This window comes from Homo sapiens, chromosome 11 (assembly GCF_000001405.40).
Source record: "Homo sapiens chromosome 11, GRCh38.p14 Primary Assembly".
NCBI classification, from domain to species: Eukaryota; Metazoa; Chordata; class Mammalia; order Primates; family Hominidae; genus Homo; species Homo sapiens.
The window spans coordinates 117456908-117478018 of record NC_000011.10 but is presented as its reverse complement, the minus strand read 5'-3'; the positions used below and the strand labels follow the sequence as shown (position 1 = coordinate 117478018).

Here is a 21111-nt window from a genome sequence, read left to right as displayed (position 1 = left end):
GGAATGCCAGGATGGGTGGGGAAGGTGGAGGGAGAGATAATGAAAGCTCAGCTTCAGTCTCTGCCTACCACAAGGGCTTTGCACTCTTAAAGAACTAAGTCACAGGACCCAGAGCACTGAGAAGGCAGCCGGTCCTTTCCACACCTTTGGGTGGGATGGCTCCAGCACAGCCCACCCAGGCAGGCATCTGTCACATCCTGGCATTTAGGAACAGGAGTGCCATGAGAACTGCAGTGTGCTATCACTGGAGGCCAGCAGAGACCCTGGGCATGGCACGGCTTCCCCATCTGTGAAGTAGGGGTGGTGATGCCTACCTCATGGGATTGTTTAGAGGATTAGAGAGAAAGCATCTATGATAGCACGGGGCTAGAGCAAACTTTTAATAAATATAACTTCTTCTGTCTCTTCTAACTCAAATACCTCGTGCAGCAATTTATAGTCCTGTGGGACTTGCAGGCTGAAATATATGTGTCTGTCAGTCAGCCACATGTACTGAGTGCCAATTTTTTTTTTGCAGAATCATGCACCAGCCATGTGGTAGAGGAAGAAAAAGAAATAGGAGACAGAATGTTGCCCTTGGAGCTTACAATGCAGTTGGAGTGAGAATATACACATACACACACACATACACACACACACACACACACACACACACACACACACACACACTTTCAGAACCATTACAAAGCACTATCCAATCAAGTATAATATGCCACAAACTGTATTAGGTGAGAACTGAAAAAGGTATCCAAGGGAACAGAGGATGACTCAAAGAAAGGAGAGAGTGTGCACGTGTGTGTGTGTGTGTGTGTGTGTGTGTCTAAGGACAGCTTCCTGCACCTGTGGACTAGTGGAACAAGAACCACTGGCAAAGCTGAAGACTTGGGCTGACCAAGTGTCACAGCTGCATGATCTTTAGCGAGTACTTAACATCTTTGGGCATCTCCTTATGTATAAAATGGAGACAGTAACATTTCATTCTCAGGGTGGCCATGAGGATTTGGGGAGTGTGATGACATACATGGAGGTGCCTAGCACCCAGCCTGGCACATGATAACCTCCCACAGATTCCTGTCCTGTGTCTCTGCTTCCCTTCTCCACTTCCCGCTGCCCCAGGCCACACCCATCCTGGGTCCTGACCATCGGCTCCCGACCTTCTTTGCCCCAAATGTGCCTTTGCCAGGATTTCTGCCATGTTGCTCATCATGCTAATTTTCCAAGAGAAATTACTGAGTCTGCCCTTTCTAAGCCATCCCACTCATGCTGACTTCTCCTGGCCCCAGGCAGCAGAGTAATAATACATGAATGCCGAATGATAAATAGCACCATCCACGCAAATCTATCAGATGGCGCTGTGCAGATTTAAAAATGCAGACACCACATTTCGCCCCTGTTCACCAAGCACAGAGCAAGGATGGGTTCTTTGAGGATGGCCCTCCCCTACACCAGCCTCATAGCGCAAGCTGGTGTAGGGGCTGTGCCGGCCACCATGGGGTGAGCTGGCCTGGCATGGCATGGTGTTCTGTGGGAGCTGGAGTGTGGCTGTCAGAGGGACTGGTGTTGAGATGTCGTGAGCTGTCGTTGTGACGCAGGAGGCCTCTTCTCCGTGCTGTGAAGAGATTGTCATGGGGGTCTCAAAGGTGTGATCCAAGGAGAAAATTAGAGATGCAGAATGAATGTGCTTCCTGAGCCCAGGCAGCTAAACGCTCCAGATGTGGCTTTTCTCCAAGCTGCGTCCCCTCTACAGTGAATGTATCTCCTGAAAAACCAAAGATTCCCAGTCCCCTCTCAGCAAGCAGCCCACAGAGCAGAAGGCACTGACATCTCCCCAGCCGCTTCCTTATTTTTAAGAAGAATATTTTGCATCATAAACCCTTTGATGAAGAAAGGGAGAGAGAGCCCTTAATGAAATATGTTAATCTGGGTAAGCCAGGCTCATATGAAAGGGAATATTAAAAGAGACAATATTCACCAAAGCCAGCTCAGTACTCTGAGAACTGAAAAGGAAAAGGAAGAAAATAGGGCCCCTGGTCTCAGCCATTCAGGGTCAGGGAGATGACAGTGATCAAGTTTGGCAGATCAGCCAGAGACTTCCAGATCTGACTCTGATGCATTAGCCTGGAAAGGTTATGGAGAGGGAGCTATTTTGTGCTAACACCAAAGATGGTTTGGGAACACAAGGTCAAATCCACCTGCAAACCACGGGAGGCAAACGCAGAAGAAAAAAAGGAGTTGTTCTCCGGGACACTCCCCCGCCCAACCTTCCTGTGATTTGCAGCTGAGCAAGGCAAGGAGGGGAATGGCAAAGAGTACACTGTGGCCACAGAGTGCAGAGGAACTTCAAGTCCCAAGTAAAGGGGAAAAACAGTGGCTCTGGTTTAAAATCAACAGCACATTTTAAGTGCCCAACACATGTGAAACTGGGGAGAGGACCAAAGGTTTAGACATGGCTCCTGACTTCAGGGAGCTTAGCATCTCCTTGGGCAGTTACCACCAAACAGTGAACCCTTGAAAGAAGATACTGTGGACTGAGGAGGGGCTCTAAATGCTGGAAGAGTTCAGAGGAGGAGAAGAATAGAGAAAGATAAGGCTGGGGAGGTGAGCAGGAGCCAGATGTTGCAGGGCCTGGGTCAGGTTGTGAAATTTTACCTTTATCCTGAGAACAAGGAACAACTATTGAAGAATTTTATGTTAGGAATGGCAGTATCAGATTTGTGTTTTGAGAAGACTACTCTCAGACTCTCAGGGCCAAGATGGAATGCTCACCTGTAAGAGGAGCTCGATTGTATTTGTAGAGTGGACAATGGCCGCAGTGTAGAGAACAGATGAAAGAAACAGGGTATGCTGAGCACGTGGAGAGCTAGGGAAGAGGCCATTTCCCTGGTCTAAGGAGGGATGACAGTGGCTAAGCCTGAGGTAGAGATGGGGATGGAGGGAAGCGGAAGGATTCAAGAATGACACAGAGGCCAGGCGCGGTGACTCACGCCTGTAATCCCAGCACTTTGGGAGGCCAAGGTGGGCAGATCACGAGGTCAGGAGATCGAGACCATCCTGGCTAACACGGTGAAACCCCATCTCTACTAAAAATACAAAAAAATTATCTGGGTGTGGTGGCATGCGCCTGTAGTCCCAGCTACTCCGGAGGCTGAGGCAGGAGAATGGCACGAACCCGGGAGGCGGAGCTTGCAGTAAGCCGAGATCGCGCCACTGCACTCCAGCCTGGGCGACAGAGCGAGACTCCATCTCAAAAAAAAAAAAAAAGGAAAAAAGGAATGACACAGAACACAAAAGCTATCCCACTTGATAAGGAGAAAGGGAGAAGGAAGAGTCAAGAAATTGATAATGGTGGTGCCATTCAAGATAGAACCCAGGAAGTTGCTGGGTAAGCAGGGTGTATGGTCAAGAGTTCTGTCTTGGACAGGTTGAGTTTGAAGTGTCCATGAAACATCCAAGATGAGCCGTCAACTAAAAACTTGGCTATAAGGTCTGGAGTCGGAAGGAGAGGCCCAGGCTGGATATTAATCTGGGAGGTATCTGCGCAGAGATGAAAATAGAATGCATGGTTGGGGAAAGTGCATGGCAAGAGAGAAGGAAGCCTCGGGTGGAGGCTTGAAGAACTCGAACCATTCCTGGTAGGGTAGAGGGGGATGCACCTGCACAGAGACAGAGAGAAGCTGGCCCAAGAGATAAGCAAAAGGCCAGAGAGTGTTTTATTATGGAGCTGAGTAGGGGGATGTTTCCTGAAGAAGGGAGAGAGGTCCAAGTGTTGAATACACCCAAAAAGCCAGGAGAGAAATTGGGTTTGGTGCCGCGAAGGTCACCTCTGCTGTGGAGATGGAGCACTGATGTCGCAGGAGGATGTGAGGAGTAAATGGTGAGCATTTAAATTGCCCAACGCTGCACCTGGCACACTGCAGGTGCTTGGTAAATATTAGTGCCTCTTCTCCAGACACACCGCCCCAGTCTCCTCCCTCTGCGTGCACTCATCAAAAATGAATGCACTGACTTGTGCTCCCTCTCCCTCTCCTATAAACATGGGCACATCAGATGTGACTTATGAGCTGGCGCCAGCTCCCAGGATGCCACAGAGAGAAGGGAGCACCTGCCTCCACATGACTAGCCTGTTCTGTCCCAAACCCACAAGCAAGTGCCCACAGCAGGTAGGAGCCTGCATATTTGCAATTCCAACTTAACCTGCCAACCACAAAGTGACCCTCCCGTGGTTAGGGTGTTTTAAAATACAAAGAGAAAATAATGTGTTTTTGAGCACCAACAGCCTGCCATTTTGTTTCTCTGGCTCGTGAAACCAAAGAATTAAATGCAAAACTACAGATGGGGAGCTGGGCCGGTGCCCTTCACAGATGCTAAGCCTGAGCAGCTATAAGTGGTGTTTTGCAAACCATCAAGATCTCAACTAACCAGAAATTGGAGGCCTGGGACATTGTCTTCTGGTGAACCAATTCTCCTGATTTATCAGGCATTACGTTTTTCTGTTTTGTTTTGTTTTGTTTTTTTCATTTTTGAGATGGAGTCTCGTTCTGTTGCCCAGGCTGGAGTGCAGTGGCATGATCTTGGTTCACTGCAACCTCCACCTCCCGGGTTCAAGCAATTCTCCTGTCTCAGCCTCCCAAGTAGCTGGGACTACAGGCACCCACCACCACGCCCGGCTAATTTTTGTATTTTTAGTACAGACAGAGTTTCACCATATTGTCCCAGCTGGTCTCAAACTCCTGACCTCAAATGATCCACCCGCCTTGGCCTCCCAAAGTGCTGGGATTACAGGCATGAGCCACTGTGCCTGGCCTATCAGGCATTAGTTTTAACCAAAAAAAAATTTTTTTAGTCTTTCTAGAATGTGCTAGCCTCCTTTCCTGATTTAGGATTTAAACTGTGGTGAATACAACTTAATCTTTTCTATGGAGAATTTTTCACGATACTCTACTGTGGGTTTAAAGGCATAGAAAATTAGACGGAATAGTGACATCTGGACTTGCCCTGGGAACATTTTTCAGCCCTACTATCAGCTTGTTTCCTTGTGATTTGCCTTTTTTTCTTTTCCAAGTAAGGTGCCAAAACAGTTATTTGGTTAAGAATCCCGGGTGTGGAAGGTCCTAGCTGAGGCATTTTTAATTGCAACTCCTTCCCGTTTCCTCTGGAGACCCCTAATAGGTGCGCAGCCAAAACATATTTAACAAATGACTGGATTCCTCTGGAGATGCAGGGTGTTCACCATCACGATATGTTCAGTCACACCTGAATGGTATTTATCTGGTATTTTCCACCTCCTACAATTTTGCTAAACATCAGCCGTGAGATAGACTACCAGTCTCCCTGGATAAATCGTGAACATGTTAATCTCTTTGGTGGCCCCTAACCCTAATGACTCTGAAACCATCCTCCTGTCGATGAAGGAAAGAGGGTAGGGTTTGGACTGGGGACTCTGGTACTTGGCCTGTCCCCCTCAACCCTGACATATAACACTCAAGTTCATCACCTCACAAGTGCACAAGGAAAAGAAAGACAGAAGCACACACAAAAGGAGGAGAAAAGGAGAGGAGACTTAGCCTCCTGCTTTGCATGGGGGCCACTGGGTAAATGGGGTGTCTCACTGTTAGACCAGGTCACTGATGTGAGGGGAGACCCAGGAAGAAGGGCACTGGCCAGTCAGACCCTCAGGGATAGCAAACAGATGGTGATCTTGGCAGGGACCTTGGGGAACGTCTCGTCCGACCTCTGCCTGAAGTTTGAGCTTACAGGCTGGCCAGTGGCAGAGGAGAGTCAGGCTTCTCCCAAGCTGGAGCTGCATGGGACAGACCCCTTGCACCGTCTGTGAAGTTGTTCAGGCCTGTGCCCTCTCTGCAGTCTGTGTGAGCTGGACCCCTCGGGCATCCAACTTAATATTGGGTTGTACTGGTACTTCAGGCTGGGAAGGGGTCCTGGAGTTTGCCTGGCCATGCTTTGACATAGGTGTCTTCTCTCCAGATTCCTGGGACTTCAAGCAGTCCACACGCAACATCTCCCCCACCATCAACCAGGCCAACATTGTGGACTTGCACCCGGCATCTGTGTACAGCATCCGCATGTACTCTTTCAACAAGATTGGCCGCAGTGAACCAAGCAAGGAGCTCACCATCAGCACTGAGGAGGCCGGTGAGCACCTCACCCAGCCTGCCCTGCCCATGGCCTCAGGGATCAGGACCACCAGGGGCCTACAGCGATCCTGTTCACTGGCAATGAGCTTGCAGTTAAAGGGGGTGGCGTGGGGAAAAGCATCCTAACAGATGTTTGTGTCCACCTCTGGATCACTGCAGGCTCCTATTTGACCCTTTTCCAAGCGGGGTTCTAGATACTGGGTTTGGGGGAACTATCTGTGGTTCTGCCCCACTCCCCTGGCCCCAGCATCTGGAAAGATCTATCTGCAAGATAGGGTACTAGGGCCTGGATCATTTTCTATGACCCTCATCATAGAGTTTTCTTGAAAGTTTAAACAAGGTTTATCTTGCTATGTTTTCTTTTGTTATCATGTAATACAAAATAATGCAGAAGAGGCCGAGAGTGGTGGCTTATGCCTGTAATCACAGCACTTTGGGAGGCCAAGGAGGGTGGATCACCTGAGGTCAGGAGTACGAGACCAGCCTGGCCAACTTGGTGAAACCCTGTCTCTACTAAAAATACAAAAATTAGCTGGGCGTGGTGGCGCATGCCTGTAGTTCCAGCTAATCAGGAGGCTGAGGCAGGAGAATCGCTTGAACCTGGGAGGCAGAGCTTGCTGTGAGCCAAGATCGCACCACTGCACTCCAGCCTGGGCGACAGAGGAAGACTCCATCTCAAAAAAAAAAAAAATGCAGAAAAATACACATGACATATATGTGCAGTTTTATAAACAAGCATAAGGTAAACAATGAGTATAACCAACACTCATCATCCATTAGCCAGCATGGCAGAAGTCCCCCATGTACCCCTTTCTGGTCATAACACCACCCCTCCTCTTGAAGTAATCAATATCCTGATTTTTGTGATACTAATTTTCATTCTTTTTTGTACTGTCACCACAGTGTATATGCAATAAAATGTATAATTTAGTTTTCCCTATTTTCCAGTAGAATGTATTCATGACATCATACTTCATCTATTCTTCCGTGTCTTGCTTGTTTTAATCAATATTACTTTTGCAAGTTTCATTCATGTCATTAGCATAGCTATATCATTTATGCTTTTTCAGTGCTGTATAGTATCCATTATATGACTATACCACAGGGGATTTGTCCATTCTACTGTAGATGGACATTTAGATTGTTTGTAGCTTGGAGCTATTACAAAAATACTGCTATAAGCATTCCTGTATGCTAGTGTACCGGTTCATGAGTTTCTCTAGGGGATATAAGCAGTTGTAGAATTACAGAGTCATCAAACAGGCAAATACTTCTACCTTTAACAAAAAATGCTAGAATGTTTTCTGAAGTGTTGTGCCAATTTTCTCTCCCATGATCAGAGGATAAGAGTTCAGGCTCCACCCCCTGGGTTCATGCCATTCTCCTGCCTCAGCCTCCCGAGCAGCTGGGACTACAGGCGCCCGCCACCTCGCCCGGCTAATTTTTTGTATTTTTAGTAGAGACAGGGTTTCACCCTGTTAGCCAGGATGGTCTCGATCTCCTGACCTCGTGATCCGCCCGCCTTGGCCTCCCAAAGTGCTGGGATTACAGGTGTGAGCCACCGCGCCCGGCCTAGACATTCTTTTATGAAGCAGACACTTCATACTCTTCAACTTTTAAAAACTTTTGCCATCCTACTGAATGTACAGTAGTACCTTATTATCATTGTTTGCTATATTTTCAGCAAATTATAGAGAATGAAGAGGAAATTGAAACCCTATGTTACTTTCAGGGGAACTCAAACAAAAGTTCTCTGCTATCTGCATCTGAGCTTAGTCTTCTCCCCAGGAGCCCTCCAGCTCAGGAGGGTGGGAGTGGGAACATAGAACCCCTTCCTCTTCCAAGTCTTGACTTGTAATGTTTCTCCTCCCCGCTACCCTGCTCAGCTCCCGATGGGCCCCCCATGGATGTTACCTTGCAGCCAGTGACCTCACAGAGCATCCAGGTGACCTGGAAGGTAAGTGTGTCTAAGGCATCTCCCCTGGAATGTCTGCTTGCCTCCTCTCTCCTCAATCCAGGACGAAAGCTCCCAGCAGGCTTGCTAGTCTCTAGTCTTATATGATGCCCATGTCTGTTTTGTCACTAAACCTAGTGAGATTTGAGAGATGGAAGGAGAGGGAGGCAAAGGCAGGTCCCTCCAGCACAATAATCCCCACTTCCCTCTCCTCCCTGGTTCTCTGATGGAGGCTCTGCCTGGGGTGGAACGAAAAACTTGCAGTGCCAAGGAGGGAAGATGGTTCCTCGGTGGTGCTGGCCCGTCGTCCAAACCCCACATGTTGTAATAAGGTTGGAAGTAGGTTTGATTTTGTGCCAAGTTCCTCCTTTCTAACATCAGCATGAAAACAACTGCCCTCCCTACCTCTGAGGGTGGAGAAACTGTAGAGAAAAGAGACCACTATGTGCTATAGCCATTTCTAAGGGCAAAGACCTGTAAAATATAGGGGGTGACTGAAGCATCTGTCACTTAAGGAAAATCTTAGGGGAGATTCCACAGCTGGGCAGGGAAACAGAACAGAATGACCTTGAGCAGGACTCAGAAATGGGCATCTTCTGGCCCTACCACCAAACCCCTCCATGGGCATAGAAGGGCTGGCAATCCAGGGGCTTCCTGTCTCACTGCATCCTCCAGTCTCCAAGTGCTTTCTCTTTACCAACTCATCTGACCCTCTCCTCATTCCTGGGGAGCAGCGAGAGAAGGCACTTTTATCCCCTTCCACCAGAGGAGGCCATGGAGACAAGATGTGAGGTGGCCTGGCTAGCAGAGACAGAGCTCAGACTGCAACACAGAGTCTGCAGCCCCAGCCACTCTTCCCTCCACAGCCACTGCACAGGGCTCTGGATCAGAGAGCATTCTCAGGGCCTTCTGTGTTCTTCCTGGAGCTTTCCCATCTCAACAGTGGGGCTCGGGGGTTGCCTGTCTTAATCAGGGACCAATTGTCCACGGTGACTTTCTGACTCTCCGCCTGACAGGAAAAGCCCAGGTGCTTGAGTCCTTCTTCTGGGCTCTTTAGAAAGGTAGACTTGAGAGTGAGAGAGATTCAGAAGGACCTAGTGATATTTTTCCTAAGACCATGTGCACGCACACTCACACTCACACTCACACACATAGCAGCAGCCTGGTTCCTTCCCTCCCAGAGGCATGACCAAGAGGAAAGCGAGGTAGGGCTGGGCAGCTGGTCCTTCCTGGGGGCAGCCCACCTAGTGGATACCTGGAGCCAGGGTTCCTCTCCAGATTCAGATCTGGGTTCCAGGGCTCTCCTCAGAAAGTGGGGTGAGGCCGGGCATCCAATCCCAAACTCTTGGCTGCGTCCTGGCTGTGGACCTGTATCCTAGAAACACTCCAAGGCAGCCAGGAGGTGGGGGCAGGGATGAATAAATATGTAAAGTACTGAAACATTGGGCTACAAAGCTCTGACCCACAGGTCGATAAAAATTTAGAATCAGATTTATTTCTCCAAAGTCTCATAATGAAAAATAAAATTGATTAGAAAGTTAGAACTTCAGAATGAACCAGGTGGTCAATAAATTTTGGGCTGACTTCTCAGGGGATTTTTTTTTTTAACATTGAGAAACAGATTAATGAAAAATAAAGATTCACTTGAAGATAAGTCACTTCATTTTAAGACCCTTTCCACGAGATGGATCGCCCCTGCTTTATGACATAAATTTGCAATCAGCCCTATTGATTTCTTAATGCTTCAGAGAAATATTGTTAAGATTGATTTAAATCCTGACTGTGGCTGTTTGGAGAGGCGGGGGACAGAGAAGGAGAGAAAAAAAGAGAGAGGAAGGAGGCAGGAAGGATCTGTGAAGATTTGTATAAATATGTGAATCTATCTGGATGGATAGATTGGGGTGTGCCTGCATGCCTGTCTGAGACCTGTCAGTATATGTGGATGTGGTCACGTGTGCAGGTATATATCATGGTATACATAGCTCTGGGCATGTAGGCAATCTGTGGCATAGTATAATGATGTTCAATGTGTGTCAGTATAGATACACGTACATGAAGCGTGAGAATGGGGGTCGATGTGAAGAGGAAGGTCTCAGGCTCTTGAAGATACATTTGTATCTATAATGATGTCTGTGTGTATGTGTGTGTGCATAGACATACATGTGTAGATACAAGACCCAAATGTAAAAATGTGTCCACTTACAGAGCAGCAAGCAGAACTGCCCAAGTGCAGAGAGAAACATTCAAGCAGCAACAAAGAGTAAAGTCAATTAAACACACACACACAGACACACACCTATTTAGTGAGTCCAAAACAATTATGTTAAATTAAAAACTTCATTTTATTAACAGTGAGCTTAAAAATGCAGTTCATTTAAAACATTCATTGACTAGAAAAAAAAACAGTAGTGCTGTTTTACTAACTTAATTGTTTTTATCTCACTATTTTTTAGTACAATAAAAGGTGGGCTTTTAAATTAACTTCATTGTCTTTAAAACCCCGATTCAAGCTGTTTTTAAATGCGCTGGGGTGGGTGTTCTGTCTCAATTTATAGATGGGCAGGCCCGGGCATTAAAGGAGCCAGTTTCTATTTGCGGATCTAAATGTATCTGGTTGGGAGTAGGGGTGTGGATTAAGATGTTTGCTTTGATGGGTCTGGATACGTGTTCCTGGTTCTGGGTGTGAATGGATATATTGGCGGCGGGGGGAGGGGGGAGGTGTGTGTGCACGCGCATGCGTGCGCGCACCTGGCTGGGTGTCTATCAGGGTTCGAGCCTGGGATGAGAGTTTTCCAGCCCCAGACCGATGCCAGTGGAGTTTCTCCATTCGCCTGGCTGACTGGGCTCAGTCTTCATTCCCACCAGCCCCCTTCTAACCTCCAAGTCCTTGCCATCTCTGTGCCTCCATCCAGGGCTCATTCGGGCCTCAGCCTTCACCATTCCCCAATCCCTGGCCTTGGCGTCTGGGGCACTGCAGCCTTAGAGTTCCCAGAGGGGCTGCACCCAGGTGAAAGTCAGGGATCTTTTTTTCTCTAGTTTTAACAAAATACATATAACTTAAAATCTACCATTTGAACCATGTTTAAGCGTGCAGCTCAATAGCAGTAAGCACATTCACAATGTTGTACAACCATCACCACTAGCACTTCCAGAGCTTTTTCATCCTCTCAAACTGAAATTCTGTACCCATGAACCATGAGCTCCCCGTGAAAGCTCTATTCCACCCTCCTTTTGTTGAGACAGAGTCTCACTCTGTCGATCTTGGCTCACTCCAACCTCCGCCTCCCGGGTTCAAGCGATTCTCCTGCCTCAGCCTCCTGAGTAGGTGGAACTACAGGTGTGTGCTACCACACCCAGCTAATTTTTTGTATTTTTAGTAGAGATGGGGTTTCACCATGTTGGCCAGACTGGTCTCGAACTCCTGACTCAACTGATCCACCCACCTCAGCCTCCCAAAGTGCTGAGATTACAGGCATGAGCCACCGCACCTGGCCTTTCTATTTTCTTCTGATTTTGACTATTCTAAGTACCACCTAAGTGGAATCGGACAAATAGCTTTTGTCCTTTTTTGTCTGGCCTATTTCTCTTAGTGCAGTGTCTTCAAGGTTCATCCGCGCTGTGACGGATGTCAGTGTTTTCTCCCTTTCATGGCTGCATACTATCCCATTGTATTGCACTATCGTATTCTGCTTCTCCACTCATCTCCTGGTGAACACTTGAGTTGCTTCCACCTTCTGGCTATTCTGAATAATGCTGCTTTGAACATGAGTGTACAAGTATCTCTCTGAATCCCTGTTTTCAATTATTTTGGGCATAAACCCTAGGAATGGAATTGCTGGATGGTATGGTTATTCTATGTTTAGCTTTTTAAGGAACTGCCAAACTCTTTTCCATGGTAGCGGTGCCTCTTTCCATTCCCACCAGCAATGTACAGGGTCCCATTTCTCCATCCTCACTACCACTTATTTTCCATTATTGTTATAAGAGCCGTCCTAATGGATGTGAAGTGGTATCTTGGGACTCTTTCTTTTTATTCAAACTAATTGCTCACCTCCCTCTCCATCTTATTACTTTTTGTCTGCTGTTCTATTTTCCCCAGGCCCCTGAACCCATGCCAAATGATATCCCTATTCATTCATTCATTCATTCATTCATTCATTCATTCATTCAATATGTATTGAGGGCCCATAGTATGCCAGGCACCATTCTAGACACGGAGAGTGCGACAGTAACAAAGCGTCCTCACAGTGCTTCCGTTCTAATGCAGGCAGACAGGCAAATTTCACTAATGCATAAGTGAAATTTATAGACTGTCAGATGATGCTAAGTGCTGTGGAGGAAAATAAACCGGGAAGAAAAATAAGGAGTGCCAGAGAGAGGCAGGGAGCTGTCTTACATAAGGAGTTAAGGAAGGCCTCGTTCAGAAGAGGCATTTCGGCAAGGACGCGGCAGAGGGGAGGAGTGTTTCCCCTGAGATGGGGATGCGGCCAAAGAGGCCAGAGTGCTGGGGCGCAGGAAGCGAGGGGCACAGGAGAGGATCTGAGAGGTAATGGGAGGTCGGGTCACACAGGGTAGAGTAGCCATTGTAAGGACTTTGGCTTTCATTCTGAGTGAGATGGGAGCCTTTGAAGGGCTGGGGCAGAGGAGTGACATGATCTGACTTTGGTTTTAAGAGCATCATCTCAGCGTGTTGCCATTTCTTTGTGCCCACCCCCACCCCATGCTCACAGGCACCCAAGAAGGAGCTGCAGAACGGTGTCATCCGGGGCTACCAGATTGGCTACAGAGAGAACAGCCCCGGCAGCAACGGGCAGTACAGCATCGTGGAGATGAAGGCCACGGGGGACAGCGAGGTCTACACCCTGGACAACCTCAAGAAGTTCGCCCAGTATGGGGTGGTGGTCCAAGCCTTCAATCGGGCTGGCACGGGGCCCTCTTCCAGCGAGATCAATGCCACCACTCTGGAGGATGGTGAGGGCCCCAGCAGAAGGGAGTGGGCACAGATTCCTGCCATGGGCAGAGCCAGGGCTGCCAGAGAGGGTTTGTGGGTCCCTCTGTTTGCCCCTGGGCCCCATTTTGGTCCTGTGGTCCACGCAGGCTCCCTGCATCCCCGCCATCTCCTCTTGTCCATTAGCTCCTCCAGAGATGTATGGGCCATTCAGCATATCGGGCCTCTCCTTCCTTTTGACCGATGCTGTGCTCATCCGGTCTCTGTTGACCTGTTGGCCTGTCTGAGCACTTGTCTGTCCACCTGTCTCCCCATCCACGCTTCTCCCTTGGCCTTCCTCCTTCTTCCTGGCACGCTAACCCCTCTCTCTTCCCTCTACACCTGGGTCCTATTTGCCTTTGTGTTCTAGTCTGGAACCTGTCCACCATCTACCTGAGATGAGGCTGAGGAGTTAAGAAATCCTAACGTGCATGCGGCAGAGGATTTAGAGGATTTTTAAGTCTTCATTCTTCCATGACTGGAGAGAACCCCACACTCTGATTAGCACATCAAAGGGCCCAGTCTCTCCAGGAGGAGAGGGTTAGGAGGAAGCAGGAATATGCCTGCACTCCAAGCACAGAGAAGATGCCAGCTGGTACCTGAGCCCGCACCAGGTTGAGAAAAAGGACATGGCCCCTGATGCTCCCAGAGAAGGGGCCAGGCTGACCTCTGTCCCCTAAAGAGCAGAATAAAGAAGCAGCAGAGCATTCTTCCAAGCTTCCTTCTTGATGCCCCAACCCAAAGCTAGGGTCTGAGGCCAAAGCCCCCCGAGTCAGAGCCTACCCACCCCGCCCCAACAGAGCGAAACCAACAGTCCGGAGGGCAGAATGATATTTCCCTATTCCCATCAGGAGACCAAGCGTTTCACCATCAGAAAGCTATTCCTTTAGAGGAAGCAATGTCCTCCTCCTAGCTCATCCTCTCTGAAAATGCAGCACCCTGGGGATGGTGGACACATTAGGTCAGAAACACCTGAAAGTAGATTCGCTCATACCAATGGTTCCTAACGCTGGCCACCAGTTGGCATTATCTGGGGAACTTTCAAAATACTGATGCCAGGCTTCAACACCAGAGATTCTCATTTCATGATTCTGGGGCAAAAGCTGGGCTTTAAGATGGGGCCGACTTCAATAGCCCCAGAGCACTGAGCACCTGAGAAGAGGGGAGAACTGAAAGAAGGAAAGAGGCACGTGGCAGAGAAGTCCAGGGGGAGGGAGGAGAGCCGCACCACAACCAAGCCCTCAGCCCATGGCCCTCGCTATCCCTCTCCATCCCTCCCACCCTGAGATGCTGGCCTCGGGCCTGGCTGGATTGAGGAAGATCAGCTTGTCTCCTCTTAGTGCCAGGAGTGTTCATTTGAGCAGTGCCCTAACACCTGGTTCCCAGCCCTGAGCACAAAGCAGACCTCCTGGAGGTCTAGGAAATGTAGGTTGCTGGGCTCCAACCCCCAGAGCTTCTGCTTCAAGCAGGTCTGAGGTGGGGGCCAAGAATGTTCATTTCTAATCCGGGTGTCCAGCATGGACAATACAGCAAGACCCCATCTCTAAAAAAAAAAAAAAAAGGATGTATTATTTCTAATAAGTTCCCAGGTAATGCTGCTTGTCCAGGGAGCACCTTTGGGAATCATAGCACCAAGAGTCGCACAATTATCCATGAAGGGAGGCCAAGGCTCAAGGAGATTAAACCATCTAGAACCATCTATCCAGAAAACAACAGAGTCTGGATCAAAATCTCTGATTCCCATAGCCTTCCTGCTTCACCTTGTGCCTCCCTTTTGCTTGGGAGCAAGGCTGGATGCACGAACAAGTGACGCAGATGCAGGAGGCTTTAGGAAGGTGTGTCCAGGGAACAGTCGTGCTGAGCCGAGGCCAGCCTGCCCCACCTAACGCTAAGCTCCCATGCACCACCCGGGCCACGCCAGGCCCACCTCTGGCCTCTGTCCAAACATCACCTCCCTTGCCTCGTGGGGGGCCCCTGGAATTTCCAACAGGGAGAGATCAGCACAGGCTATGGAGTCATTTTCAAAACAGAGGAGAGGGGAGAAGAAAGTTTCCAGCAGCATTTGCTCAGCAGTTTTTCATACTTAATTAAGGCCCTCGTTAGCCTGTCAGATCCTGATCGTTTCCTGGCAATATTAGCACTCCTCCTGGGGTATTCAAGGGCCCCTGCTTTAGCAATAGTGTCTTTTCCATAATTATATTACCTTCATTTTGTTCGAATGGGCGATCTGTATTAGTTTATTACACTGGGTCCCTAATTACATGGTGCTTATATTTTTACACCTAAGTAATATGAAACAATAATCATTCTCAAAGAGGATCGTTAGGATGATGTATTATCATTTAAATGCTCATAAAAATTAGAGTTGCCTCTTGTGGGGCAACGGGATCTAATTTCCTTCCAGCCAGCCTGTGCATCCTTTCTTCCACTCGGAGCGAAGCAGACTCCGTCTTGCGCTTTGTCCCTGGCCCTCGGATGCCAGCAGGAAGTGCCACCAAAGCTCCCCCGAGCTGAGGTGGATCCTGGGGCGTGGGGTTTCGGAGGCCTGTCATCTCAGGAGGGGCAGGCTGCACTGCGCCCCAGGGTGAACCTCAGCTTAAACTCAAAGGTGGCTCTCAGAGGGAGAGTGTGACTGGCGGGAGAAGCACCTAAGCTGGTCTCAGAGAGGGTTTTCCCATCACACCAAGCCTTTTGGTGTGTTTGAATACAAGGGCACGAGCGAAGCTTTAATGGTCCCAGAGGTCCCAAGGTCCGGGTAGAAACTCCTCTCCTGCACCAGGGTTAGCTGAAGTCCTTTTCCCTTCTTTGCCTTCCCTTTAGCTTGGAACAAGGACACAGGAGTCCCTAGAACCAGGCCTTGGCCCAGACCCCTGGTCAGACGACACAGAGGGGCTGGCAGCCATCAGATGAGGTGATGCATTGCAGACACCTCCAGGGCTGGCTTGGTGGCCTTCCAGGTCTGTCATGTTCATCACAGCAGGATTTGCCTGGGTCGTGGTGGCCTGTTGGGGAATTCCTAGGGGCTCGTGCCCAGAGTTCCTCACCTTCTTCCCCAGGATTTAACCACAACCAGGAATGTGCTACCCAGAGAGCAAGGAACCAAGTCTGTAAAGATTTCTGTCTGCCCCAATCTCCAGGAAAGGAAACTCGGTTCACTTCCCAGCCTCCCTGCCCCAACAATCAGGATGCTCAAGTCAGGAGGTCCCCCCACTTGTCTAACTGGACGCTCCTCTGGTTGGACTGCGGGACCCAGCCTGGGACACAATTGCTGTACTGTCACTCACATCCATGACTGACTGGACCCTTGGTTCTCCCCCTACCCCCTGCAGTGCCCAGCCAGCCCCCTGAGAACGTCCGGGCCCTGTCCATCACTTCTGACGTGGCCGTCATCTCCTGGTCAGAGCCCCCGCGCAGCACCCTCAATGGCGTCCTCAAAGGCTATCGGGTCATCTTCTGGTCCCTCTATGTTGATGGGGGTGAGTCTGCTGGGACTGATGGCTGGGACTCAGGGGAGAGGCGCAGGTCAGTGGAGTCTGCTTCCAGGCGTAGTTAGAGCTGAGCATCCTCCCACAGCTTGGCAAGAGGAAGTGCAGCCCCCTCTTCTCCACACGGGGAGACCACGGGGGGCGATAATGGCTATAGGGGCCGGGGGAGAGTGAGGAAGGGGCTCGGGATTCACTTGAACACCTCCGTGTTCAACTGGGGTCAGAGCCAGGAGCAAGGTGGGGGGGTGGTACCTAGGGTGGCATCTCTGGTGAGGGGTGGGAAGGAGACACCTAGCTACTCCTGGACAACAGTGTGTGTTTGGGGAAGTGTTGGGGGCATGATAGGGGCAGATTGGCTTTTCTAGTTTCAGTGTTGATATTAGGCCTTTATGGCTATGTGAGCCAGGGACCGGTGGGGAATAGTCGGTACACTCAAATGGGGCGATCAAAGAGTTTAATGAAGGGACTGAGGAGGGAGGTGGGCACCTGGGACCAGCATCAGCAGGAAGCCATCAACACCTAAGGCCAAGGGGGAGAGGGAGGAAGCAGGGCTACCAGAACCCAGGGAGAGCCTCCCTTGGCCAAACCCAGCTGGAGCCAGGCACGCAGCAAGGCGTGTTTTCTGTGCAGACAAGCCGCCCGGGATCCAGAGAAGGGCAGAGAGGTGCGCACAGTGGAGCAGGGGGGTAGAGAAATGGCAAATGGAGAGAAACCAGTAAGATGGCCCAAACTTTTGAATGTCTTCCTCGCCCTGGAATGTGCAAACAGGTTTGAGTAGCTTCCCGCAGGCACACCAAGCTCCTGCCCACTGGTGTACACAGACCTTCACGTGACCTGGAGACTTGTAGCTCACACAGGTCAGAGGACAGGCATCCCATACTGTGGAAATGCTCCATTAAAGGCCTTAGTCATCTCAATAGACCACAAAGGACTAAAATGAGTTTGCCCCCCACCCAGCTCCTGCACTTTCTGCCTCCCAGCCCCCTGGGCCCTCTCTTCTTTCCTGGAGGACCTTGGAATCCAGCTCACAGTCATTTGTCCAGCGCTACTACGGTCCCCTCTCCCATCCAGATTCTGCTCTGCCCAGACACACTGCCAGTAGGAAGTGTCTTTCCCCACCACCACTTCCACTCTCTCCCACAAAAAGCAGAGGGCTCTAGCTCAGATTGAGCTCTCTGAAGGTCTCCCCAGTTCTTTTGCTGTGCAGTGTCAGGCCACGCTGCTCACAATGTGACCTCACTACATTCATATTTGTGTGGAACCAAGTAAAGGGTGGTTCCCTGTTTTCCAGAACTCGCTTCCTCTTTTCGAAGCCTGCGGGCTTCTCCAGCTTAGCCCCTAAGGAATGTATTAGCCTCAGTAATCCCCAAAGACAAGCTGGACTCCTGACCACGCTGCCCTCTTCCTGCCCTTTCTCTGGCTCCAGTCCTGGACAGGCCAGCCTGGTTTCTGACTCCAGGAGAGGAAGGCCCTGCTGCTCTGACCTCCGAGGGTCCTCCTTCACTGACCTGGAGTCTTCTCACGCTGGGCACAGCCTTCTTGCCCTCTGGATCCCAGCAGCTGCTGCTTTCCCTGGCTAGGCCCTCTGCCTTGGCCTTTTGCCTGCCCTGGACCATCCGCGAGGTGCTGGGAGGGGGGTCTCCAGGAACTCATGTCTACGAGGCTGGTCCTCAGCCCGTTGCTGGACCTGTCTTTCTGAAAGCCCAGCAGTCCTAGTGGGAGGCTCCAGAGTCTGTCCCTTTTCCTCCTCTTACAACTCTGGCCCCCATGGGACTCTCTCCCTAAGCTCCTCTTTAGAGTCTATGAGAAGGTCCTTGCAGGGCTGGGACGTTGGGTCCTCCCTGAGCCTCAGGAGTGTCCCAGCCCTTCCTGGCTAAGGCTATCGGCTCCACCAGACTCACCCAGGCTTTCTGTGCAGGGAATGGCTGGGTGTCTCCAACAGTGGGGAGAAGGCAGATGAGTCACTCAGCCCCTTACCCCAACTGGGAGTCCAGGGCACTGGCCCAGGAGTGGTCAGAGGCAGGGGAGGCAGCCTCAGCCTGTCACACACCATCCCCAGGTTGATAACTGCCCAGGGAGGTCTGGCGGCCCAAGGCGGGCTGGCCAGCAGGAAGAGTGGCTGCTGAGCTGTGCCTCCTGCACGGGACCTCCTCCATCCAGGTCCAAGCCACTCTGGGCTCTCCCATGGGAAGGGAGTTGGGTAGCGGGAGGGAGAAATGTTGCCTGGAGAGATGGAGAGAGGCGTTTTAAAGAGCGTGTCAAGGTGAAGTTGGTGCAAGGTCAATTGAGGCCGGGCCCAGGCCAGCATCTGTGGCTCGCCCTCACTGGCCCCTTAGAGAGACGTGGCCTGGGGGCAGTGGCCCGCATCTGCTCCTGGGTACCTTGAGGTGAAAGACCCTCTAGTCCTCGCCACCATGGAGTCGAGGGCTGAGCCTGTGCAGTAGGTGTGGGCAGAGCCCAGGCAGCAGGGGTAGCAGCAGGGGCCACAGCCCGATGGAGCTGGGTCCTCAGAGTTTGCTGGTCTCTGGCAGAGTGGGGCGAGATGCAGAACATCACCACCACGCGGGAGCGGGTGGAGCTGCGGGGCATGGAGAAGTTCACCAACTACAGCGTCCAGGTGCTGGCCTACACCCAGGCTGGGGACGGCGTACGCAGCAGTGTGCTCTACATCCAGACCAAGGAGGACGGTGAGTCCAGGCCTCTCCTTGGGACAGGCTGGCCCTGCCACCCACTGCTAACCCCCAGCCCCACCCCAGGAGGCAGGGTGAGAGCAGGGTACTGTCCTTTCTCCTGGCCTTCAAACTGTGGGAGAGTAGCCTTGAGGACTCTTGAGGGAAATGCTCTAGGATTCATGCGTGAGCAGATAAGCAACTGTGAACCTCCCTGCACCTCCCCCCGCACCCCCTACATACACACCTGCTCTCTGCAGCATTGAGTCAGAGGCCGGAAAAACCCTCTCCTCCCACACCATGGGCATTCTTTCTGTGGCATCTGCTCCCCTGCAAGATTCAGCCTGCTTTCCTCTGGATACACGCTGGGGCTAGGGGAAGCAGGAGCATCGCTCAGTACATCACGGGTTAGGGACTTTGTGGTCACCCCACAGAGGCCGCAGCATGGTCCTGGCCCTGGACTGTCAAGGCAGGGATGGGGGTGTGCCTCCATTTGGAGCTGGGTGATCTCAAAGCCCTTCCTCATGGGGCAGAACTGGAGGAAAGCCAGAGACAGAGGGCCAGACTCAAGGACAGAGTGACACGGTAAGGGCAGGGGAAAAGGGGAGGCTGGGATGAAGTCAGCCCAGGAGGAACAGGCCAGGAGAAGGACCAGGCTTCCACCCAGGCCTGGAGCTGCACTACCCCAGGGCCGCCAGGGAGGCACAGTGCATGAACAGCACACAGCTCTGGGCTTCCGCCTCCAGCCCCGCCACTTTCTTCCCCTCCCAGTACCAGCTCCATCATTTAGTTGTTTCACAGGTGAGTGCTCTGGGCCGGGTGCCCCGTTACTAGAAGAGGTGTGACAAACGACTGGCACACAGCAGGCACAGAAGCGGGAGACATCCTTGGCATGGTGGCTTCCTTTCCACTCACCCTTAGTTTTTTCGAGGGATATGGAGACCCAGAGTCTAGATCCTACCCAAACAATTTGGCTGAAGGCACTGGAAGGGTTTGACATGTTGAAAAGGAACGACTCGGCTGGGAGTGGTGGGGGAGAAGCTGCCATTGTCGCCCAGTGCCCGGGGACTGGACCAGCTCCCAGCTCAGCTTAATCTCCCGGCTCTCCCTCCCTCTCCACCTCCAGCAGGCCCCCTCTCCCTTTAAGCTCTGAGCAATTCAATATTTACCAACCTGCCTGCCCTACTTTTCCTGTCATTAATCCTCCCATCAAGGCCTCCTGGGACAGCTCCGGGCAGAGCCACCTGCTCCAGCGTGGAGACTGTGCTGAGATGGCATCTAGAGCCTGGTCCCATCTGAGGCCTCAGGGCCACACTCAGGCACCTTTTGGCCTCCAGAAATGAGCCCCTGGGGCCCCCAGCCTTCTTCTTGCCTCCTATTCTGATGCAAGGCCTGAGCTATAAGCACCTCCACCTGTTTAACTGAACAAGGCAAGGCCCTGTGAGGAACCCAGAGGTCTAGGGGCATCACCCCTCCCTGCAAGGAGCCTTCAGCCCTCTGCCCCAGAGCCACTCATGGTTATACACAGCAGGAGCCCGGGCCCAAAGCAGCACTGCCCCTCACCTTCGGGAGGCGGCGCCGCAGCATGGAAAAGGCGCTGGTAAATACAGCGGAAGTGCATGCCCCCAGCCTGGCATTCATGGGGAAGTCACTTAGCCTTCCTGAACCCCAGTTTCCTCATAACATGGGGAGAGTGGTACCTCATCAAGTACTAATACCACGTCTAAAATGTCAAGTACTAGCAAATAGCAGGTGCTTTATGGCTACCAAGGTGCTGGCAATGAAATGATTGCTTCAGGCCGGATGCAGTGGCTCACACCTGTAATCCCAGCACTTTGGGATGCCGAGGTGGGTGGATCACCTA

The 21111-nt window shown here is 51.1% G+C and overlaps 1 protein-coding gene across 7 annotated transcripts in view, besides 1 other annotated feature; it reads left to right on the top strand.

The window, feature by feature from the left end:
- Positions 1–21111, top strand: part of DSCAML1 (DS cell adhesion molecule like 1) — a 389743-nt gene that overhangs the window by 339496 nt on the left and 29136 nt on the right. For all 7 annotated transcript variants that reach the window (XM_011542918.2, NM_020693.4, XM_011542917.3 and 4 more), the window contains 5 exons: positions 5983–6150; positions 8039–8109; positions 12837–13077; positions 16423–16569; positions 19110–19265. In XM_011542918.2, coding sequence (XP_011541220.1) covers positions 5983–6150; positions 8039–8109; positions 12837–13077; positions 16423–16569; positions 19110–19265 — 783 coding nt within the window. The remainder of the gene's footprint in view (positions 1–5982; positions 6151–8038; positions 8110–12836; positions 13078–16422; positions 16570–19109; positions 19266–21111) is intronic.
- Positions 13039–13540: an enhancer, noted in NCBI's record as "H3K4me1 hESC enhancer chr11:117335195-117335696 (GRCh37/hg19 assembly coordinates)". NCBI's record gives its function as "activates a minimal SCP1, AML or CMV promoter by ChIP-STARR-seq in primed H9 embryonic stem cells {active_cell/tissue: H9 hESC(primed)}" and the evidence as "EXISTENCE:reporter gene assay evidence [ECO:0000049][PMID:30033119]".